The 25,061-nt window shown below is 45.6% G+C and overlaps 1 protein-coding gene and 1 pseudogene across 3 annotated transcripts in view; both read right to left on the bottom strand.

The window, feature by feature from the left end:
• SLC5A1 (solute carrier family 5 member 1) overlaps positions 1-20,885 on the bottom strand; it is a 69,769-nt gene extending 48,884 nt beyond the window's left edge. For 2 of the 3 annotated variants that reach the window (NM_000343.4, XM_011530331.2), the window contains exons 1-2: positions 20,730-20,885; positions 14,132-14,203 (exon numbers count right to left, since the gene is read on the bottom strand). In NM_000343.4, the coding sequence (NP_000334.1) occupies positions 14,132-14,203; positions 20,730-20,864 (207 nt within the window). In that variant the 5' untranslated portion in view covers positions 20,865-20,885. Of the gene's footprint in view, positions 1-4,801; positions 5,009-14,131; positions 14,204-20,729 lie in introns of those variants that run through there. The other variant, NM_001256314.2, reaches the window with a different exon arrangement.
• On the bottom strand, positions 24,202-24,681 carry RPS17P16 (ribosomal protein S17 pseudogene 16; annotated as a pseudogene).

The raw sequence follows: 25,061 nt of genomic DNA, 5'->3' as shown, positions 1-25,061 counted from the left end.
CATTTATCACCTCTTGCTTGATAAATAATTAAGCCTAATGCTGTACTATTAAGGACATAATTACCAGAAATTATTAACTGCATTAGATGAGTCATAAGTTCAAAAAGTCCTCTCCAATATCTCTCCCAAACAGGGACATTGTCCTTTAAGCAATGTCAGGCTGTCCTGAAGTCCCCACTCACTATCTGAGAAGAGAGTGGAATGAGGCCAGGAGAGTTCGGGTATCAGAATGTCCTGAGCCCAGGTTCTATTCATTTCTATTAGGGGAACAACCTTCCTCATTCTGGACTCCCTCTCTTTACCCCATGACCTACACTTAATCATTTACCAAAACTCTGACTCTGCCTTCACAATATTATGGCCACCTAGCTCTTTCTAGATAGCCCTTGTGCTGCCTGTCACTATCTCTCAACAGGACCAAGTAGCGGGCTGCTAGAGGATCTCTATTCTCTCCTTTCCATCAGTCACCTCCCCACCCACCCACATGGCCAAGCAACCTCCCTAAAGCACAACTCTGATCATAACACTGACCTATTCAGAGACTTTCCTGGACACCCAAAAGGGCCTGTCAGGTGGTCTTCCTGACAGCTACAGGCCTAAAAACTGTCTTAGGAATATAGCAAGGTTTCAAGGTAAAGTTCCCTCAAGTGCAGAGACAGCATGAGCTTTACAACTCAAGTTTGAATGTTTTCTTGACCTCTTACTCTCTGGGTGATTAGAACATCTGCAAGCCTCCGTCTTCTCTCATGGCAGGGTTGGTGCAGGAGTCAAATGAAATAATGAACCAGTTGTGACTGACACAGCTGATTCTCAATCAGTGTCCCTTCCCTCCTTTCTCCTCCCAAGAGGATAATTACTTCACCCTCAAAGACACTTAGCAAAAGCTACAATGGATACTGTTATAGACAGAATTGTGTCCTCTCTGCAAAATTCCTATGTTAAAGCCCCAACCCCCAAGGTGATGGTATTTGGAGATAGGGCTTTTAGGGAGATAATAAGGTTAAATGAGCTCATAAGGGTGGGGCCCCAATCTGATAGGATTGGTGTCCTTATAAGAAGAGACACCAGAAATCTCTTTCTCTCTCTCCCCATATACATGCACAGTAAAGAGGCCATATATGAGGACACAGCAAAAAGGCAGCCGTCTACAAGCCAGGAAGAGAGGCCTCCCCGGAAGCCAACCCTGAAGGCACCTCAATTTTTGACTTCTAGAACTATGAGAAAATTAATTTCTGTTGTTTAAGCCACCTAGTCTGTGGTATTTTGTTGTGGCAGCCTGAGCCAACTAAGACAGACACCATTGTTTTATGACCTGTACTCCCCTGCCAGGTTTTTACACTGCCACTCCTGTTGCTGGAACTCACCAACAATGCGTTCATCATGCCAATTTCCCAAACATTTTCTCTGTCCACTCCTCATCCATGCTCATGCCCATTTGAGAATGGGCACCACTCCCATGCAGGGAGTGACCCAGTGCCGTCAATCATCACGTCCTTCTCTAGAATTTCTCCCCCATGTTCCTGTGAATTCAGGATTTCAGACTTTATCTAAAATTTCCCCAACTTGATCTCACCTCTCACTTACTACTTTACCAACCCTCCTCACCCTCCAATGGGACTCAAAAGGCCATTACAAGTATGTGGATACTTTTGCTGCTTGTTGTGCAAGATGAACTGAGTCTGACCAAACCCAACAGGTCTGAGAGCATGAGAATTGGGAAAATAACATAATGTCACATCACAAAATGCAGAAAGGCTATTTATTCTTTTGATTTTAGGGAATTAATCACATTTTACCACGTAGATGTCCTATCCTGGAAGGTTGGTGGGAGGGGAGATGTACGGAAAAATTAACCAATCATTGAATCTTTCAGAGTGGAATGGGTCTGTGGATGCCACAGCTTAAGTCCCCTTTGCAACACCTCCCAAGTGATGGTCAGTTCTTAATGCATACCTCTAGTGACAGAGAACTCGCTACCTTACAATGCAGCTGAATCTGTGGTAGAACAACTCTACTTGTTAAAAAGTCATTCTTTATTTGAGCTGAAGTCTACCCATCAGTCCTGCTTCCACCCTTTATAGTGCAACAGAACAAGTAAAATCTCTCTTCCACAAGTTAGCCCTTCCAATATCTGAGGACAGGGATGGTTTCCCTGCTTCAGTTTTCCCCAGACTTCTCATGTGTCTGTTCCTCTTCTCATGTGTCTGTTCCTCATCGACAATGGACTTGATTCTCATCACCATTGTTGTTCTCTGCTGCCCTGAGCCCCATCTCTGTCCCCAAAGTGGACCTCAGACCTGAATAGACTATTCCAAACATGAGCCATCCAAAATGAAGCAAGCTGCCCCTCTTGACTTCCTGTAAGATTTTAACATCATCCACCTTCAAATCCTCTTTGAAACCTGTCACTCAGCCATGAGTTCTTGGCAGTACGGAGGACCTAGGCCAGTCCCTCTAATTGCCATCACTATTAAAGAATCTGCCTCTCTGTTATTTGGAACATTCAGCAAGAACAGATTTCCTCCCATTGCAATTTAGATTCCTGAAAAGACCAATTTGGTTTGCCTTAACAAGACACAATGGCTCTATCACTTAAATTCTTTTTACTTTAGTCCCTCCAGGGTTTGGCACAAATTTAATGTTTCCCCCTTGTGCCTCCTCTAAAGGGAAAACTACCTAAACCAAAAACATCAGGCAAAATCATTTCTCCCTACTGACTTTTTTTTTTTTTAAGACAGAGTCTCGCTCTGTCACCCAGGCTAGAGTGCAGTGACATGATCTCAGCTCACTGCAACCTCCCCGTCCCAGGCTGAAGTGATTCTCCTGACTCAGTCTCCCAAGTAGCTGGGACTACAGCTGCATGCCAGCATGCCCAGCTAATTTTAGTAGAGACAGGGTTTGACCATATTGGCTAGGCTGGTCTTGAACTCCTGACCTCAGGTGATCTGCCCGCCTCAGCCTCCCAAAGTCCTGGGATTACAGGCATGAGCCACCGCAGCCAGCCGCTACTGACAATTAATGTTAGAAGTCAGAAGCTGGCAGGAATTGCATCTGTCTCTCGAACCAAAGACAGGTGTTACTCTATTTAATGACCCACCCAGACCTATTGAAATCAGAGTAATAAGCTCTTCGGGTGATTCTTATGCCCAACAAAGTTTGAGAAGCCTGCCCTAGAGTGTATTGAAAGCCACTGTTTCCTCCTTAAATTTGTTTTCATCACTCTTTGGAAGCAGGGATGCAGTCTGTAACTACACAATTAGAATGCTAAAATCTGGCCTGGTGGTGTGGTGTCTCAGGCCTGCAATACCAATACTTTGGGAGGTTGAGGTGAGAGGACCACTTGAGGCCAAGAGTTCAAGACCAGCCTGGGTAACATAGCGAGACCCCGTCTCTACAAAAAAATTAAAAACTAGCCAAGCATGGTGGCATGTACCTGTAGTCCTAGCTACTTGGAAGGCTGAGGTGGGAGGATCGCTTGAGCCCAGTAATTCAAGGTTGCAGTGAGTGTAATCATGCTGCTGCACTGCAATTGGGGGGACAGAATAAGACCGTGTCCCCTCCAAAAAATGCTAAGATCTGGAGGACAAAAAGTGAAAGAGGCTCTCTCCAAAATTCCCTGCTTAACTGCCAGAGTTTTAAAGATCTGTTACCCGCTGGGCACAGTGGCTCACACCTGTAATCCCAGCACTTTGGGAGGATGAGCCAGACAGATGACCTAAGGTCAGGAGTTCAAGACCAGATATGGTCAACATGGTGAAACCCCATCTCTACTAAAAATACAAAAAAATTAGCCAGACGTAGTGGTAGGTGCCTGTAATTCCAGCTACTCGGGAGGCTGAGGCAGGAGAATCACTTGAGCCTGGGAGGCAGAGGTTGCAGTGAGCCGAGATCGCGCTATTGGGCTCCAGCCTGGGCAACAAGAGCAAAGTTCCATCTCTTAAAAAAATATATATATATATGTGTGTGTGTGTGTGTGTGTGTGTGTGTGTGTGTGTGTGTGTATGTGTATATATATGTGTGTATGTATATATATGTGTGTGTATATATATGTGTGTGTATACATGTGTGTATATATATATGTGTGTGTATATATGTGTGTGTGTGTGTGTGTGTGTGTGTGTGTGTGTGTGTATAACCATGGCCCCTGTGCTGCCCAGTGGGCGGCATTTTCACTTCAACCACATGCCAACATATAGAACATGGAGTGAAAGAAACTTTGACTGATCTCACCAGGGAGGCCCCGGAACTGGAAGGCTTGGTAGAATCAAGACTTCCATGATACCATCAGGCCGCAGCAAAGTTATGAAAGCAAAGATATTTCGACTGGAAATCCACTGAAGCTACTCAAAATCTTGGTGGGAAATCATTCCGCAAACAATTTATCTCCTCAAGAGATGGGATTGTGAGAGTTCTCAGAGGTGATCTCAACCACCAGAGACAACAAAGGTTGTTGACCAGAGCACTTTTCAACCTCTCAGCTGTGGCGTGAAATTCAGAAGAGGAATTACAGGCACTCCAGACTCTCTGCAATAAAGTCAGTCCCACCTTCTCCAATCTCAGCAGCCCTGCCATGCCCTGCCATGTCCCCTCCACTCTGGCAAAACCACACTGGCTCAATTTCCAAGATGTGCTCTGTGCTTTCCTGCCTCCTGCTTTTGTTTATGACATTTTCGTTTTTCCTGGAATGCCCTCTTCATCAAGCTCTGTCTATAAAAACACTTCCCTCATCTGCAGAATAAAGCCCAGTCCCACCTCTCCACTGACACCATCCAGAGCCGATCTCCATCCTCCAATCTCTTACCTCATGTGTTGTCTGTTCCCCTCTCCTGGTGCGTGTCACATCCCCACTTTGATAACTGCTTCCACACAAGTCTGCTGCCCCAAATACCTTCTAGCCTTCAAAGAGCCCACTTTTGGGACAGAGTCTTTTTCTGTCGCCCAGGCAGGAGTGCAGTGGCATGATCTCGGCTCACTGTAACTTCTGCCTCTCAGCTGTGGCATGAAATTCAGAAGAGGAATTTCAGGCACTCCAGGCTCTCTGCAATCCAGTCCTGCTTCCACTTAACAGAGGACATTCTTTGCACATGGCAAGGACTCAGTAAAGATCTGCTGAGTGAGTAAGTGATATCAAATCTTTGAATGTTCCACTTGGGGAAACAACAGAAACCATAGCAACCAAATGTCTGAGAGCTGCATTTATTCCCACTGGGGCATGGAGTCAGGACTCTTCTCAGGGACATGCCAAGGACCACTCTCTCCTGAAGAAGAGGCAATAAACCTAGCCTGCCAGGCCTACCCAGGGCCCATGAGAACAGCAGGGTATACTGGAGACTATGAAGTGGCTCTGTGAAATATCAGTCTGGCAACCCACAAGCTCAGTGTTCATAAGAACAAGACCATAAGGGGAACTGACCTTATAGGTTAGTCCGTCAAATAGGATTTTTTTAATGTTAAATACTTGGTGTTGGCAAATAAATAGGCTCTCCCACATATTTCTGGTAGAGATGTAAATTGATACCATTTTTCTGGAAAGTTGTCGGTTGGTACACGTTAAAATCATTTAAAAGTTTGTCTCCTTCCACTTATATGACCCTATTTTTAGGACTCGGTTTTAAGCAAATTATCAGAGATGCAGACAAAGACTTAGATACAAGGATTTCATCAGTATGTTCATTGCTATGTCATTTACAACAGAGGAATGTTGGAAACCACGTAAGGGCCCAACAATAGAAAAACAATTGGATAAATTCAAGTTCATATTTATGATAGAATTTTAAAAAAATTTTTGTAGAGATGGGATCTCGCTATATTGACTAGGCTGGTCTCAAACTCCTGACCTCAAGCTTTCCTCCCAGTTTGGCTTCCCAAAGTGCTAGGATTATAGGCATGAGCCACTGCACCCAGCCATATGATGGAATAGTGTGCAGCCATTAAAATTATAGCTTTGAAGAATTCGTTATGACATGAGGAGATACAAACCTATATACCCTATGAGCCCCAAAATGTTTAAATATATGCATAGGTGTGTGTGTGTGTGTGTACCTGTGTATACATATATATATCCAAATTTAACAATGATTATCTTGGGAAGACAAAACAATGAGTGCATTTTTAAAATACTTTTCCAGTTTTTTCACAAGGGGTTTGTATAATTTTATAATCAGAACACAATCCTTTAAAATCTTTAAGAATAAGGAACAACAATTCCAGAGCTGTCTCAGATTCACTAGCAGAGCCTGAGGACTGAAAGCAAAGTAGGCATGTAAGTTATGTGTTTTTTGGGGGGATGTAGAAAAAGACGTGAAAATGTCACTGAGTGCTAGCTACAGTTATGTTTTGTGTGCCTGGAAATAGAAAATTGACATCTTAACCCAGCTCATGTGATGTTAGAGCTGGAATTACCTTGGAAATGATTACAGCTGACCTTGTTATTTTCCAATGAAAATAAAATTGTAGCCCAGAAGAAGAAAGTGATTCACGTTTACATATTAATTTTATCTTTACTTTCACACCCTAAGGACAGTAAGTCAGCATGTGCACACTCAGGATCACAAATCCAGGCATCAAGAATTGTCCTGGGGGCTGGGTGCGGTAGCTTATGCCTGTAATGCCAGCACCTTGGGAGGCCATGGCAGGAGGATCACTTGAATCCAGGAGTTTGAGACCTGCCTGGGCAACATAGTGAGACCCCATCTCTCCAAAAAAATAAAAAATTAACTGGGTGCAGTGGCACTGTCTATAGTCCCAGATACTCGGGAGGCTGAGGAAGGAGGATCCTTTGAGCCCAGGAGGTCTAGGCTTTGATGAGCTGTGATCACACCACTGCACTCCAGCTTGGGCAACAGAGTGAGATCATATCTCAAAAAACAATGAAAAGAATTGCCTAGGGCAATGGACAACTGGCTTCACAATCAGAGGCAGCCAGGGGATTTTTAAAAAGGATCCTGTATCAATAATCATACTTGAAAGTACAATTAAATGGCATGGACATCCTTTTCCTCCCCTCCTTCAAAGCACACTGTGAACCTTCCAACCTGGTTCTAATCTTGGTTCCGCCATAGCAAACTATGTGACCTTGAGGCAGTCACTTTACTGCTTTTAGCCTCAGTCTCTTCCACTGTAAACCAAGGATAATAATCTTTTTTGGCCTACCCTAAAGGGTATTACTGGACTTTAATGATGTGACAAAATTTAAGAAAGTTTTGCTCCACAAAGACATGCTATTCTGAAGAAGTATTGATGCTTTTACACAGCCCATGTTTTTATAGATTACCCTGAATTTCCTGAAAGAAACAGAGTCATCGTTTTCTCCTTGAGGAAACAAGGTCATCATAGCCCAAATGGAAAATGCAGTCAGCTAATTTCAGGAAACATTTTTCTTTGTTAACAAACCATCTAAGACCCAGAGTGTCCAGAATTCTGGAGATGGCTTCCTGCTCCCTGCTTTTGTCCTTCTCTTTAAGGGATATCGGGAGATCCCAGGGCGTCTTCTCCATGCCTTCTCTAGGCTGTGCTGGACTCCTCCCTTGGGATATCCTCCAATAGTGGTCCTTAAACTTTAACATAATCAGAACACGAGATATACAGTTAAGTCTGCCTATCTTGAATATGCAGATTCACAGATAATATATTCATTATACATTTGTAGCATAAGTATGTCCCGAATATTGCATGGGACATACTTATGCTAAAAAAAAAAAAAAAAAAAGACAGGAAGGTATGTATTGTTTGCCTGAAATTCAGATTTAACTGGGCATCCTGTATTTTTATTTGTGAAATCTGGCAACCCTAATCAGAATCACCTGGAGGACTTAAAACACAGACTGGTCAGGCATGGTAGCTCACACCTATCGTCCCAGCACTTTGGGAGGCCAAAGGGGGAAGACTGCTTGAGCTCGGGAGTTCGAGACCAGGCTGCGCAACATAGCGAGACCTCACCTCTACTAAAAATCAAAAATTAGCCAGGCGTGGTGGCACGCACCTGTAGTCCCAGGTACTCAGGAAGCTAAGGTGGGAGGATCGTTTGAGCCCAGGAGATCAAGGCTATAGTAAGTTATGATCACGTCACTGCACTCCCACAGAGCAAGACTGTGTCTCAAAAAACAAACAAACAACAACAACAAAAAACATACGCAGATTACTGGGCCCCATTTGCTAGCGTTTGTGATTCAGTAGGTCTGGTTTGAGGCTAGAAATTTTGCATTTCTAACAAGAGTGCAGGTCTTGCTGATGCTGCTGGTCTGGGTACCACAGTTTGAGAGCCCCATCCTGGGAGAATAAGAAAGGGAGAGGAGAATGCTAATTTTTACAGCACCACCTTTGGGCCAAGGGTTGGACCATGTATTTCATTTGCTTTTTCTTATTTAATGCCCACTACAGTTCTGTGAGGTTTGTATTATTCTGATCTTCATTTACAGATGACAATAAGGATCAGAAGGTTGAAGTGACTTGCCCAAGGTCTTATAGCCAAAGGTGACTGAAGTCCCAGGGGCACAGGGAGAGGCTGTAGCACACACTGACTTTCTGGTTTTTCCCAGGACATTCCCTTCTGAATGTCCCTGAAGGGGCACAGTGGGGTGAGAACCTCCTACCCATCCCACTGTAAACTCAGGAATGGAATGTGCTCATCTGTGTCATGTTTTCATATTCCTTCTTCACCTTCTAGGAACTTGTCTTTAATCATGATTAGTGTCTCTCTTAGGAAGCTCTCTCTTTCCACAGAGGAAGTTTGAAAAGATTTAATCTTGGATCATTGCCATCTCAAGGATCACACTTCCTGGATTGGGACAGAAAATCAGATGGAGCTCCTATATTCAGAGTATTTTATTTCTGAGACTCTAGTAAATATTTAGGCACAGGCTTTGTTCCAGAGTCATCACAGTCTCTATTTACTCGGCCAACTCCTATTCCCATGGACAATGGTCCTCTTTCACTCATTACCTTCATGAACTTCTCTCCTTGCCCAAAGAAACAAAGGGGCAAGAAATCAGGAAACCACTGACATTTTCCCACCAGTTTTTGGCACAAAAGGCAGGTGAGGTCTTCCACTGGCGTTTAGAGGTTAAGGAGGCTGAAGACCAATCCATCCTCTCATCGAGATGAGCCCATCTTTGGAATCATCAGCAATTCAGGGTCACTCACTCAAAGCACCTGATCTAAATATACCATCTTGGCCGGGTGCAGTGGCTCACACCTGTAATCCCAGCACTTTGGGAGGCCAAGGTGGGCAGATCACATGAGGCCAGGAGTTCAAGACCAGCCCGGCCAACATGGTGAAACCCTGTCTCTACTAAAAATACAAAAAAATTAGCCAGGCTTGGTAGCACAAGCCTGTAATCCTAGCTACTAGGGAGGCTGAGGCAGGAGAATTGCTTGAACCTGGAAGGTGGAGGTTACAGTGAGTCAAGATTGCACCACTGCACTCCAGACTGGGCAACAGAGTGAGACCCTGTCTCAAATAAATAAATAAATAAATAAATATACCATCTGTACCCCACACTGGCCCCCTTTCAGTTTTTCAAATATCCCAAGCTTCTTCCTACATCAGGGCCTTTGGCCATTCTGTTCCTTCCACTTGGGTTACTCATCCCAGAATCTTCACATGGCTGGCTCCTTCTGATCATTCAAATCTCAACCTGAATGCTCAATCCTCAGAAAGGCCCTCTTTGAGCCTATGTTGAATAAGGAAGACCCTTCTCCCTCCCACTGAACCTCACCCTTGACTCAAATACACTTTCTTCTGAGCACTTAACTATTATTGATAATTTTACGTATATTTTGTAAGAATGTGAGGGACATAAACACACACATGCACATGGATATATCAGCACCTACATGGCATCTGGCACATAGTAGGTATCAACATGCAGTTGTGGAATGAGAGAATACTACTACATAAATAGATGAATGATTCAATTCACAGCTTAAGGAGGAGAAGCTGGAGATGAGAAACAATTACTATTTTATTTTTTTTTAGATGGAATCTTGCTCTGTTGCCCAAGCTGGAGTGCAATGGTGCGATCTCAGCTCACTGCAACCTCCATCTCCTGGGTTCAAGCAATTCTCCTACCTCAGCCTCCCAAGTAGCTGGGATTACAGGCACCTGCCACCACGCCCAGCTAATTTTGGTATTTTTAGTAGAGACGGGGTTTCATCATGTTGGCCAGCTGGTCTTGAACTCCCAATCCAGGCGATCTGCCTGCCTCGGCCTGCCAAAGTGCTGGGATTACTGGTGTGAGCCACCGCACCCGGCTGAGAAACAATTATAATGATGATAATCATGATAGGCATCCCTTGGACAGCATTAACTATATAGTGTCCTAAGAGATTTACATGTATTAACTAATTTAATCCCAGATATATTTCTAATATGAATAATACAACGAATTCATTTTAACTGATAGTTTCACCACCTTTCTGCCTCTTCCGACTTCTACCAACCAGAAATACGGATTACAAAAAATGGTATTTTTTTTCTGTCTACAGAAGCACTAATCTGTTAGAAAATTCTGGGAAGGCAGCCAGTGAGAAAGGAGAAGCCAGATGCTTAGGTACTAACTAGATGGCAGGGACTTGGTTACACATCAATCAATTGATGCCTAGAAACACCAAGAATACATGGAGTGGTGAGTGGTTGTGTATTAATCAGAGAAGCTACTTAGAGGAGAGACTAAGCTATGAAGAATGGGAGGGAAGTGATTCCACCAAAAAAAGAGAAGGATGAAGGGGAGAGAAAGAGGAAAAGAGAAGAGAGGGGAAAGAGAAGGAAGAAAGGGAAGGAGGGAAAGAATGAGGAGAAGGAGGAGAATAAAAAGGAGGAAGAGAAGGTGGAGGAATAGGAAAAGGAGAATGAGTAATAGGAAGAGAAGAAAAGGGAGGAAAAATAAGAAGGAGGAAGAAGAAAGAGCAAAGCAGACACTGCTGTGATAACCCAAAAGCTCCCACCCAAAATATACCAATGGGGAACTACCAAGTTTTGCAAAACCTCGACTCAGACCGAGAAAACAAATGGCCTGAGAGTGAGGAAACATAGCCACACCAAACTTTACCAAGGAGTCCAGTGTGGGCTGAAATTGGGAACTCTGATTAAGGCTTCCTTTTCCAGTTTTACTCCCATGAGCCTAAACAACAACAATTTTTCTCTATGCATAAAAACAGAAATTTGGAGCACTGCTGGAGGCAGGCTTTGACTTAGACCCAGCACCCTTCTAACCTCCTGAATTCTTACCACTGTCTATACTGTGTGGCCCCTGCACCAGAGGCCAGAATATAGACTCAGGTCTCAGGTGACACCACTAAGGGGGACCAGCATGAGGTTCTGGGGACATGTCCCTCTTCTCCCTCATTTCTCTTTAATTCAGCCCATATTTGTCAAGTGCCTTCTTGCAGTGCAAGGCCTTGGTGTTGTGAGGCCAAAAAAAAAAAATTAAGAAAAGCGTAGGCCTAGCTCTCATCACAGGGCACTGGGATAAGTAAGAGCACATGCAGGTAAAAAGCAAGTAGAGCAGGGAGAGAGGGCCAAATGGACCTGGGCCAGAAGAGGTAGGAATTGTTTCCCCCAGGCTTATGAAGAGTCAAGTACTTATCTTTCCTTCTCACTTCTTCCTGGAGTGCATCCCTGCCTCTCTCATGTCCAGTTGCCTGGTTCCCTCTCTTCCTCTCCAATTCATGAGCTCCCCACCCATGTGTTGGGACTACCAGGTTTTTCTAAGACACCCTTTGGCCCCTCTGGTGACATCATAAGTGGCTGGACTTTGACCTGATCATTAGGTTTTAGAAACATAACGATAAAATCAGATATATTTTACCCAAGAGGACTTGAAAAGTTTGAGAACCTGTCCTCTTTCTTCAGGGAAAATTTTCATCAGGGTCTCTGGTCGGCCCCAAATGAAATAATTTCTTGGTTTTCAGACCAATCTTTAGGCCACACCAATTGGCCTCATAAATTTCCATCTCAAAAGACAAGGAGAAAGAGACCTGAATAACCAGAAGATCAGAGGAAGTCTTAGCTCTGTCATTATCTTGTGTAAACGTGGGCAACCCATGGGGTTAATCATCATCTTCACTCTACTTACCTCACTAGATCATTGAGGATTCAATCAGATAAGTGATATGACAGTCCTTCAATAGGTTTCAGTTGCAAAGAAGAACAAGAGCTAAACCTGAGGGTTTAATGTGTGCCAGGCTCTGTTCTGAGACTGTCTGTGTGTGTCCTCAAAACAAGAAATCTGGCCCTCCACCTATTTTTGCAAATAAAGTCAGCCACATCCATTCATTCATCCATTTTCCTTGGATGTTTTTGTGTTACAACAGCAGAGTGGAATAGTTGTGACAGAGATTGCATAGCAGCAAAGCTAGAAATATTTAGAATCTGGCCCTTTACAGAAAAAGTTTGTCAACTATTTTGTTGTTGTTTTGTTGTTGTTGGGTTTGGGATTTTTGTTGTTGTTGTTTTTGTTTTTTGGGGTTTTTGTTGTTGTTGTTGTTGTTTGAAACAGGGTCTCACTCTGTCCCCCAGGCTGGAAGGCAGTAATGCAATCATGGCTCACTGTAGCCTTCACCTTCCCAGATCAAGCGATCCTCCCACCTCAGCCTTCCAAGTAGCTAGGACTACAGGTGCACACCACCACGCCCAGCTAGTTTTTAATTTTTCTGTAGAGATAAGATCTTGCTATGTTGCCCAGGCTGGTCTTGAACTCCTGAGCTCAAGCAATTCTCTCACTTCTGCCTCCCAAAATGCCTGGATTACAGGTGTGAGTCACTGTGCCTAGCTGAAACTTAGAATTTTAGTCCTGGAAGAGCCTTTGAGATTCCTTATCTGACCAGCTCCACATTATAGAGGAGACTCTCAGAGACTCAGAGATTAATGAATTGCCCAATGTCACAAAGCTGGAACAAGCCAAATCCTGTGGCTCCTTGTGCAGTTCCCACTCCCTGCCCTTTGGAATGCTTCTTTCTGAATCTAAGGGAGCTGATCCCATGGAGCTGGCTCTGCCAGTAGTCCTGGTAGGTGTGATCAAACTCTCTTCCAAAACAAGAGTCTCTCACTGGGCTGTGTACCTGGGGCCTCACTTCTCTGTGTAATTTCTGCTGCCAATATCCAAAGAGTGGGGAATTCCCCTTCGAAGCTCAGCCCCTGAGCTTCACAGCTTTCCTACCATCACATCTCCGCACAGACAGCTGTGAGTGAAACGTGGCAAACCCTGGTGCCACATAAAAAGGGAATCCTGGGCCACCAACCAGCCCACAGTTACGTAAGGTACAGTTTCATGGTTTCATGTTACTCAGATGAGTTGCCTTGGCTTGCCTCAAGCATGACTCAGGCTTCCGGGGACCTCCCAGCCCAGATCCCTATGTAAGCTGACTCTTCTTGTAATTTCAATCCTGGAGTCCTTGCTCCTTCCCTCTGATTGTCCCTTGCTTCTATCCTCAAGCCAACACACAAACTGTTTTTCTCTCTGGGCCTCATTCAGTTTTCAGGAACAGAGTCTGTTTCCAGAGTTTCTGAATCTTCACCTGTTTCAGGTCATAACCACTCCTTTCAAAGCCCCCTAAACCCCAGGAATGCCCAAAACCAGTCTCTCCTCTATCCAGTATGTTTTCAGACTTTATGAGCTCTGATTTTCTCCTACTTTTCTTGTGGGTGACAACCCAAACCCTCTCTGTCTCAGGTATATCAACCCAGGTCAATACAAGTTGTTCCTTCTTCCAGAAGCTTCTCTGCTGCCCACTCTTCCTGTGGCACAAAGCGACTGGGATAAAGGCAGATGGAGGGGCAAAGGGCAAGTGAGATGTCAGCAGTGGAGAGCCTCTGACCCCTGTGATATGTTCCTTGGGCCAGCGCATTTGAGAACTAATATTCTGGTTATGGATTTATGGACCAATGATAGGCTTTGAACCAACTTTGTATTTTATTGAAGGACTCTAAGGGTGATTTATTTAAAGGCTATTCCCTTACTACAAGAGATTAAGGGTGCCCAGGAGACCCGATGAGCATGAGACTCACTGTCAAGAATCTGGTTGGGATCCTTGAATCCTAGAATCACCACCACCCAAAGCCAAGAAGAAAATGAGTTCCTAAAGGGAGTATCAGTTAAGCAGTTATGTAAATAGCATTTCAGAGAAAACTTACCGGCCACCACACCATACTTCGGCCTGCCAGGAAGAAGCCTCCAACAGTCCCACGATTGGTGGAAAACATAGCCTGAGGAGGAAAGGGTCAAAAATGTAATCGAAAACTAGAAGAGTGGCCTTGCCAGCCAAAAGGACATACCTCCCCATTCGTGCACCTTCTTCTACCCACTCCACTTTCTGAAACACTTTCACATTCCTTCTTCCCCTGCAGCCTCAAAAGACTTAGATGAAGGAGGCAGGAACCTACATTTGACAGACAAGGAAACTGAGGCTCAGAAGATACATACAGCTTACTGTAGGGCTAGTGCGAAATTAGCTTCCAGTATCACTTCCAGCAAGTCACTCCACCTGGATCTGCTTGCTTGTCTGTTAAATGGCAGGAATGGAACTTTTTATGCCTTTCTTACAAGCATATTGAGGTTCCTAATGAATGCTATATTTATTTTAGCCTCCTGAGTAGCTGGGATTACAGCCACATGGTGGCATGTGCCTATAATCCCAGCTACTCAGGAGGCTGAGGTGGGAGAATCATTTGAGCCCAGGAATTCAAGACCAGCCTGGGCAACATAGCAACACCCATCTCAAAAAAAAAAAAAAGAAAAAGAAATATCATACTTTTAAAAAGTACCATATGGGATGTGAGTTATATCTTTGTTACCAGAAAAGTGAAAAAATGCTCTAAGAATGCAAGGCATTTGTACTAAATATTAAATAAAAGACCAGACAAATTCAAGTCTTTCCTCTCTGAGGGTGTAGGTAGCAGGTTGCTGGAATCATCATATATATAGATATAGATATAGATATAGATATAGATATAGATATAGATATAGATATAGATATAGATATAGATTATATATAATATAGATTATATATATATAATGATTATATATATATAATGATTATATATATATATATATATATTTATTTATTTATTTATTTTAGACAAAGTCTCACTCAGTCACCCAGGCTGGAGTGCAGTGGCACGATCTTGGCTCACTGCAACCTCTCTCTGCCTCCTGGGTTCAAGCAATTCTCGTGCCTCAGCCTCCTGAGTAGCTGGGACTACAGGCATGTGCTACTACGCCCAGCTAATTTTTGTATTTTTAGTAGAGACTGGTTTCACCATATTGGCCAGGCTGGTCGCAAACTCCTGACCTCAAGTGATCTGCCTGCTTCGGCCTCCCAAAGTGCTGGGAATACAGGAGTGAGCCACCGCACCCAGCCAATATATCATGACTATTGTGTTAGTATAGAGGAAGGGGAGGACTTTGTCAGACCAGGGAGCCAGGAAAGGCTTACAGAGAGAGCAGTATTTCAGCAAATCTTGATTGAAGAAAGAGTGGAATTTTATTAGAGAAGAGGGAGGAATGTGGTAAGATTCCAGAAACAGCAGATCTAGAGGTGGAACCTCACCCAGCGTGGAGAAGGAGAGAATGGCGAACAGTGTTATCTGATGAGCCTGGCTGAGGCATTTGAATGGAGAGAGTGGTGAGAAGTGGGGCAGAACACCCACTCACAAATGCCAGGCTAAAAAGTGCAGGCTTTATTGCATAGGCAGTAGGGAGCCACTGAGGGTTCATGAGGAGAAAAATGACATGAATCTTCAATATACGATGACCAGCTCCTCCCACAGATCCCTTGGGATGTTGCCTCTAAGCCTTCGGATTATTTCTGGTCCAGCTCAAGCCCAGGGCCAGTCCTCCAGCAGAAAATGGGGTCAGTGCCTCTGTTCCTGGCCCCTGGCCATCTTCCCTCTTCTTCTGTGTTATTGGCTTCTCTCAGTGAACACTTGCTAATAATGTTAGTAGCTGATAGTGACTTAACCCTGTCAGAGGTGGCACCTTTTTTTTTTTTTTTTTTTTACATGGAGTCTCATTCTGTTGCCCAGGCTGGAGTGCAGTAGTGCAGTCTCAGCTCACTGCAACCTCTGCCTCCTAGGTTCAAGCAATTCTCATGCCTCAGCCTCCCGAGTAGATGGGAGTACAGGCACACACCACCACGCCTGGCTAATTTTTGTAGAGACAGGGTTTTGCCATGTTGTCCAGGCTGATCTTGAACTCCTGATCTCAGGTGATCTGCCCGCCTCGGCTTCCGAAAGTGCTGGGATTACAGGCATGAGCCACCATGCCCGGCCGATGTCTGCATTTTCATAGGTGACCACTGAGGCTAAAAAGCATCACTATTCCAAATCACTATTCCAAAGGCATTAACTCCTGATGGTGACATCTCAGGCACTTAGACACTTGTAATTTATTCATCAAACATGCCTGAGACAGATAACATTTTGCTAGGTGCTCAGTCTGCAACGATGTATTGAACTTAGTCCTTTAGGAAGCAGGGCCATTATTGTGTCCCATCAGTCAACATAGATTTCTTGAGCACCCCCATGTGCTGGGCAGTACCCGGGAGAGCATGGCTTGGGTCTTTCTGGACTCCTGGCAGGGCTCTTCCTCCCAAAGGAGATACTGTGAAGTCCTCTGTAGCAGTTTTTTTGGGAATAGCAAGAGACCTAAGAATCAGAAAAGGTAGCTAAGGGCCAAAACAGAAAAAATTCCCAAGGACCTGGTCTGTAGCAACTGACCAAGGAAAAGCCATTCTGAAGGTCACTGTGAAGTTGAAGATTGATATCCCCAGTTGGTCTCAGAAATGAAGAGCTTAGAGGAAGAATGTGAGGGCAGAGACTAGAGTGGGGAGCTGAAATAATTCAGGAAAGATGATGGGGAGGGACAAAAGGTGAAGAGAGGAGTGTATGCACCAAGTCTTTTCTTCTCTGGAATTTTCATCTCCTCATCTATGCAAGCCCAGATCCTACCTATTCATCCTTCAAGGCCCCTCAAAATCCATTTCCCCCATGAAACCCTACTTGACACTCCCCCATGGAAACCTCCTCCTTCCCTACAGCCTCCTCACTTCTCCAAATGAAAGTCTGTGAACACCCAGATGACTTCACTTATGCCTTGTTCACAGCCATTACAATTTTTTTTTACTTTGTGTTACCATATTACAAATTTTTAATTTCACATAATGCTTTGGGCATAATGCCTTGTGCACAGAAAATCATTGTTCTGTGAGCACAAGAGGCTCAAAGGAAAACTTTAAAGTTCCAGACACCACTTTGTAAACAACAGTGTTACATTCACCTGTCCACTCTACAACTACAAGAGAATGAACTCCCAACTCCAAGCTGCTGGGGTAAAAGAAGGACAATTACTGACCCACAATGTTTTGGTTTGGGGTTTACTTGGGTTCTATCTCCATGGAATACAAATATCATTGAGCAGAAAGGAAGAACTTTAGGCCTCTGTCCAGATGAGGAACAACTTAAGAAACTGAGGATGTTGGGCCTGGAGGAGAGAAGCCTCAAGTGTGGCCTGTTGTCTTCTGAAATGTAAAGTGGGACAGACATGATGCTTGGTGTGGCCCACATAGGACACAACCAGACAAAATGAGAGAAGTTCCAGGACATCGCGTCTGAGCCCAGAGCCAAAAGGAATATCCTCTCTGTCAGAGCTGTCCAGAGATTGAAATAAAGCCACTTGGGAGAGTTTCTACTGGAAGTGTTCAGGTGAAGGCTGTTGACAACTAGTCAAGGTGATTTTGTCAAATGATCTAAAGAAAAGCACCAACTTAAAAAAAAAAAAAAGAGCAAAGGAATTCAGCACCACCAGGACACTGTCACAACAATGCAATGATAGTAAGGACCATGGAGGGAGTATTCCCAGAAAGGCAAGTGTCTTGGGGAGTGGGAAAGGTAGAATAGTGGAAAGAGCATTGGCTTTGGCATCATAAGACCTTGATTCTTGTCCCAGCTCTGGGACTGATTCATCTGAATGACTTCTGGTCACCCTCTCCGATCCTCATCTGTAAAACAGAAAGGTTGGGCTCCCTCAAGGGCCATTCCAATTCAATCATTCAGTGATGCTGTCGGTTCAAATGACTGCATAAGACAGGGGTCAGTAAATTTTTTTTCTTTAAAGAAAAAGGGCCTGATGGTAAATACTGAGGCTTTGTGGAATATACAGGGTCTCTACTGCAAATTCTTCATATCTTGTTTTGTTATTTCTTTTTCACAACCCTTGAGAAGTGTAAAAACCATTCTTGGCTTATGGACCATACAAAAACAGGCTGTGAGACAGATTTGGCCCATGGTCCATAGTTTAACAACCCCTGGCTTGAGGGGATTTCAGGATAGCTTGATGAACTCTTCCAGGAAGAATAAGGTCAGAGATCCAGCTTCAAAGGATATAGAATTCCCTAAGAAACAAACTGATAGGTGGTGAAAGAAAAATGGAAATTAACTCTGAAGAAGTAAGAAGCCAAATTCTAAAATATGATTGGAGGAGGCAGAATTGTAAAAGAGCAAAACAGAACCAAATAATGTTGGAAGAGATAGAGAAGGTGACAGAGGGACATTGACTGTGTGGGTCTTTTCTAAGTTGAAGAAACACAATGGGCCTGGACCATTCTGCCTGTGCAGCCCAGAGATCATGAAGGAGTCAGAGTGGCCACCCCTGAATCAAGCCACTCTTGCCACTTTAATAGCAGACAGAGGAGGATAAACTGGAAGAAATCCAATGCATTAAATGACCAGGGTCCAGAGGCATTGTCTAATGGGGGAAGATTAAACATAGACAAATACTAAACAGGCTATTAAGTAGCATTTAGCAGGACAAGTGATACTGATTCACAGATACTTGAAACATGTAAACACCATTTAAAAAGTATAAACACCTACTAGACTGGCAGGGCTAAAATGAGATTGGTTAAGAGAACCGATATTATCAGAGATTGTCTGGGAAACAGGCAGTACTGTATAGCCAGCAGATGACGGGCTCACACCTTGGCTCCAGCACTTATAAGCTGGGGTGGGGTGGAAGGAGGAAGTCAGTCACAGTGGCAGAGTGCCTGGTACCATAAAAAATCAGGAGTCAAGAGATCTGAGTTCCAGGAACAATTTCATCTATTGTAACCTTAGACAAATCACAACCACATGAGGCTTCAATTTCCTCTTCTGTAAAACGGGGATTAGCATTCTGGCCTTCCCTGTCTTGTGGCTTTTGTAAAAATATACTACCCACCTGACCACTGCTGCCCATTTTACTTAAAAGGATAAACATTGTTCAGAGCCCAGATCATACCATGGAAGGTAAATGACAATAGTAGTTTTTTTTAATCCTAGAGTCCATAAACAGCTTTCAGATTCACCTCTGCGTATCCTCACCACAACCATGGGGGAGTCATTAGAATAGATAAGAGTGTACCTATGTTAAAGTTGAGTAAACTGGAGGCTGAGGGAAGTTACCCAATGTTCCATGATTTGAACCATGTGAAAGCCAGTAGTGAACTTGAGTATCCTGGCTCCTAGTTGGTCAGTTTCCACTATGTCTGGGAAGCTGAGAGTATTGAGGAAAAGTCAGCCATACTGACCCCATGTGACACTTGGGAGGCATTCTGCCACATCTAGTTTCTACAATTCCTTTGGAAAAAAAAAAAAAAACACTTCCTTTTGTCCCTGAAAAAGCTCTGTGTCCACAGAAGTGTTCATGCCTACCTTCCTCTCCTCTAAGTCAAAAGAGTTCAACACAATCACCAGCTGCTACAGCAGCCTCCCTGGGCTTATCACCTCCACCTCCATAACAATCACGAGAATGGCTGGAACATCTGCAAACATTTTATATATTTTTTGTAATTTTTTTTATTTTTGTAGAGACAGAGTCTCACTATGTTGCCCAGGCTGATCTCGAACTCCTGGACTCAAGCAATCCTCCCACCTTGGCCTCTCAAAGTGCTAGGATTACAGGAGTGAACCACCACAGTCGGTCCTGCACACTTTTAAAACATCTCCTCCTCTAGTTGTTGGGCCTGCCACAGTCTGTCATAAGTGAAATGCCCATGTTCCAGGTGGCTGAGAACAAGTTTCTCTGGTTTGCTGTGTCCCCAGAGTCCCAAAAGGAGACACACACATTTCCCTCTCCCCAGTGCCAGGTCACCCCCAGGTCTTCCTCCTCCTCCTTTTCCACCCATCTTTCTCATCTCTAACTTGATCCAGCCCCTGGGATCCTCATGCACAAGGCCTCTGGGTTAGCCTCTCCCAGGAGTGGGGCATGGGTCAGCATCCCTCTGTCTGCCACCTCAGCATCCCCATCTCTGGGGCTGGCAGAGGCTGTGGCTTTCCCACTCCACACCATTTCTTTCCCATCTGAAACTGGATGACTAAAAGGTAGGACAGTAGTCACCTGCTAGAGGCTCATCTCCCAAGCCCCAGAGCCCTCCCTGTAGCTCTAAGCAGCCGCTTTCCTGCCCCTTACACTTTCCAGCGGTCTCTTCAAACCCCCACCTTCCTTCTCTGCTCACAGGCTCAGGTATCCTCCTTGGTCCTTCCTGGCAGGCTGCCCTGGGCACCCTTCTCACTTCTGCTCATCCTTGCTTGCCCTCCTCCCTTCATGCTGTGCCTCTGAGTGCTTCTAAAGTGCTTCCAAGTCATTTCCTCTCCCCTCCACCGACACTTAAGCCTACTGCCCCTTGCAGCTCAGCGAGGCCATTGCTCCTCCTCTGTGCGCACCCTCCCCACCCGCATCCCAGAACCCGCTGCATACCCACAGTCCGACGGCCATCACTACCACGAAGTAGATAACGATGATGGAGATATCGGCTGCATTGCGAATGAGCTCGTGGGTCTCAACAGGCCGGGTGACCGCGGTGGTCTTGGGGCTCCAGGTGCTACTGTCCATGGTGGCAGCGTTGCGTCCTTCCCTCTCGCCAGGGCCGCTAGCTCCTTATACGGCCTCCTGGTTAATGATCAGCACCAGGGGAGGGGACCTGGGACTTTGAGGGAGCAGGGCAGTAGCGCGGGGCCCCTGCGATGCCTTGCGGCTGCACCGTCAGGAAGCAGCTCCGGGCGTGGAGCCCAGGAAGGAGCACCCGGCTGAGCTGTTGGCTGGGGCGGCGGCCCGGCAGGTAAGAGCTGTCCTGCGAATGGGGAGGGGCCAGCCAGGGGGTGGTGCCCGCCTGGCACAAAGGCCCACTGTACTCCCACAGCAGGCACCAGCAGCGCCACCACACCTGCCCTTGCCAGAGCTGGAGTGGCTCCATTGAGGGAACAGGCCACCTGGGGCTAGGAGCCTAGAGGCTTCAGATCACCTGCCACCCATCCTTGGACTAGTCCCATGCCTTCTAAGGACTTGGCTTGTCCGCTTGTAAAATGGGTGCAGCACTCTTCTGAAGAATCAGTCAAGTCTTGTTCTCCCTGGAGAACATTCTTGAGAGGACAGAGAGTTGCTGGGTGTCACTGGAAAAAAACCAGCACAATCCTAATCTCTTGGCCACAAGGACAGCCACCCACCCACCCACATTCCTGACTCCCCCTCCACAGCCTGCAGCCCCCAGGTCCACTGTTACCCCCACTGTAAAGAGGAAGAAACTGAGACTGGGGGAAGGGATCTCACCGGGAGCTATTTCCTTGCCCTGTCCCTCTCCCAGTATTGATGCAGGGCCCTCCAGAGGCAGCAGAAGGGAAGATACTAGAGAACCCTTTCCAAGGAGTTCATCAAACCCTGACCTTCCTGGGGACTCAGCTCACCCATCTGGAAACACATGTCTAAACAGCAAGCCAGGGCTCAGAACAGAGATGACCAAGAGAGGAGGCATGACTTGCCCAAGGTCATACAGGAAACCAGCAGCAGAGCTGGCCCTGCAGCCCATGCCAGGGTTCAGAGGGAGGGCTGTGGGGTATTCTCAGGGGCTGGCTCTAGAGGCCACAGAGCAGCCAAAAGTGACTGTTCCCAAAGAGGGGGGCCTTGCTCTGATGGGGAGGTGCAGGGAGGCAGAGGACCACAGAAACCCTGCCAGGACTCTGGTCTGCCTCAGGCCCTCCCTGCCCACTGCTAGACAACCACCCACTGCCTAAATGTGAGCATCCTGTTCCTTTGCACTCAATGCTTCAGAGGTCTGCCTCCCCTCCTTCCGTATCAGCAACTGTTCTTCCCACTGAAGCTGCAGACAAAGAATCATTATTTGGACAGCATCCCCACAGGTCTTCCCCATTTCCCCCACACATCCCCCAGGACTGCAAACTATATAAGGCTATGTCCTGGGGCCAGTATAATGCCTGCCCAAAGGAAGCAGGAATTCTTACGAGGAACCTGAAAGCAGGGGCTGTCTGCTGTGGATGCCTCCCAAGACTTAGAGCTCAGCTGTCAGCTGCAGCTTGGAGCAACTCGCCTTTTGCCTGTGTTCATTCATTCCTGCATTCAGCCAAGTTTTTTCACCTGAATGTATCCCAGGAAGAGTCCCTGCCCTTAGGAAGCTTCTGTTCTAGTCTGGAAGTGAACCCACCCACAGGAAAAGTCCAGCCCTGAACCCAGGTGCAGGTGCAGGCAGCCAGGCCATGCCAAGTTCCAAAAGTACAAGGCATAGAAAGTGAAGCGAGCAGGAGAGAGAACTGGAAGTACTAAAGGACTTCAAAGGAGGGACAGAGCCATTCTTTGATCTTTTAGGAGAGCCAAACATAAATGGGAAAAGAAAGGAAAGGATGGTGCCCAGGTAGAGGTCAGAAAATGCATCCATTCATTCATTCATTTATTCTTACAACAAAAGAGCAGCTTCTATGTGCCAGATCATATGTACCGACCCTGGAATACAGCTATGAAAAGACACAGAGCTCTTGCCCTCACAGAGCTTCCTGACCAATGACAGAGATAGATCAGCATCAAAGATGAGACAACTACCTGTGAAATTACCATTGTGACACATGCTTTGAAGGAGAAATACTAATACCCCAAATGCCTACCAAGGAATTCAACCTGGGGATAAGGTGAGGTTAGAGTAAGTTCTGTGAAAGCTCTGGTTTGAGCAGGGACCTGAAAGAAAAGGAGGAATAGGCCAAGTAAGCTGGGAGTGAGGGACATTCCAGGAGATGACAAGCATGAGGAGTAAGGAAGGGGTTACAATATTTAGGGAGGGACTAGCTGGGGCTACAAATAAACATATATAAAAAGCATGTCACCTGTAAGAAACTCCCTACCACAGTCATTCCCCAGGCTGCCTGAGGCCCTTTTGCCATCTCTCTTCCTCATTGGTCTCTTCTAAAGGGACACTTCAAACCCAATTTCCCCTGAATGGATGCTTCTAGGAGAACACAGTGTGATGCCCACCTGCTCCCATGCAGCTGGCCTGAGCTGCTGGGTCACTGCTCACTGGTAGGATCCTGTTGGACTCTCTCTTGCCGTCATTGGTGCCAATCAAAACCAGGATCTGGTCACTAAAGGGGCCCTTGTTAGCAGAACACCCGAGAAAGAAAAAAGCCAGCCAGACACTCAGGCCGCAGGAAAGATGAGGCTGATAAGGAAAGACAGAGCTGAGAGCAGGAAGCAGCCCCCTCCCTATCCAAGTATACATAGGTTTACAATCAGTGGTCAGACAAGGATTCCACATTTAAAAATAGATGCCCACAGAGCCACAGCCATACCTGACTGTCAGAAAAAGAACAAATATTCAAATGACTCTGAGGTCACTAGTGTCTACAGATGGCAGGGAGAACCCAGCATTATGCAGGGTAAGGACTCATCACTATGTGGGAACTGTCCTGTCTCCTCTTCCTCCTTCCACACTCATCTGTCCAGGACCCTTGGGGGTTCCACCTCTCCTACCAGCCTGGGAGCTTCTCCCCAGGAGACCCAATGGTACAATGTCCACCTCTCACTGGCTAAACTGTGCTTCTTGGCAAAGGACCCCACAGTGGAATGGCCAGCTCCTGAACTCTTGCCACACAAAGAAATCAACAGCCTAAGTGCAGAGTCTGTGAGTTTTGGGAAGTAAGGGGCTGAAGAGAGAACCTACTTGGCTAGTTTGATTCTCAGCTCAGCTACCAACAAGCAGTAGACCATTGACAGCTCACTTGGCATTTGCAACCCTCTCTTTGAACATCTGTAATACAGCATTGACAGCAATGACTCTCTCAAATGATGGGTGTGAAGGGGCCTCATTGACAATGAGACACCAGCAAAGATGAGGGATGAAGAGAGCTGCTATAATTTTTTCTTCTTTCCCTTTTTTTTTTTTTTTTTTTTTGCTGTTGTGCCAGATTTATTGAAAATAATACAGCACTGCAGAAAAAATTCAAACAGGTCCCCGAGGCATTTTGAAGTTCATCCCAACTGTAGGCTGAGTGACCTGCAGGTTGGACAGACTGCCGAAGTCCAAAAGCTTCAGCATTTCCTTAGTGTCAGGATCTACTTCAATTATCTCCTGATCCAAGGCTGAGACCTCAGGAACATAATTGTCTCTCCTTTCTCTCTCCTCCTCCTGCAGCTTGATGGAGATACCTCTTACTGGGCCTCTCTGAATCCATTTCATCAGATGCGTGACATAGCCTGCTATCTTGTTGCGGAGCTTCTTGCTGGGGATAATGGCGATCTCCTTGCACACGCGCTTGTTCGTGTGGAAGTCGTTGCCCAGGCGTGTGTAGTACTTTTCTATGATGACCCGGGCCGCCTTCTTCACGGTTTTGGTGCAAACGCGGCACATGTTGGCGGGTCCTTGGTAAAAGAGCTCTTTCCCTTTTTCTCATTGGGAGTTCAGTTGTGGAAAGCCCAGAGAAGCAGGCTATCGATTAGCATACAGTCACGTGTCACTTAACAACAGGATATGTTCTGAGAAATGCGTCATAGGAAGTTTCACCCTTGTGGGAACATCACAGAGTGTCTTTACACAAACTAGATGGGATAGCCTACACACCTAGGCTGTATGGTATAGCCTGTTGCTCCTGGGCTACAAACCTGTACAGCAGGTTACTGTAGTGAATACTGTAGGCAACTGTAACACAATGGTAATGATTTGTGTATGTAAACCCAGAAAAGTTACAGTAAAAATACAGTATAAAAGAAAATAAATGGAGCCAGGAGCAGTGGCTCATGCCTGCAATCCCAACA

The sequence above is a fragment of the Homo sapiens genome, chromosome 22 (assembly GCF_000001405.40).
Source record: "Homo sapiens chromosome 22, GRCh38.p14 Primary Assembly".
In the NCBI taxonomy this organism is placed as follows: domain Eukaryota; kingdom Metazoa; phylum Chordata; class Mammalia; order Primates; family Hominidae; genus Homo; species Homo sapiens.
The sequence above is the reverse complement of the archived record's forward strand: the minus strand, read 5'-3'. Positions and strand labels throughout refer to the sequence as shown.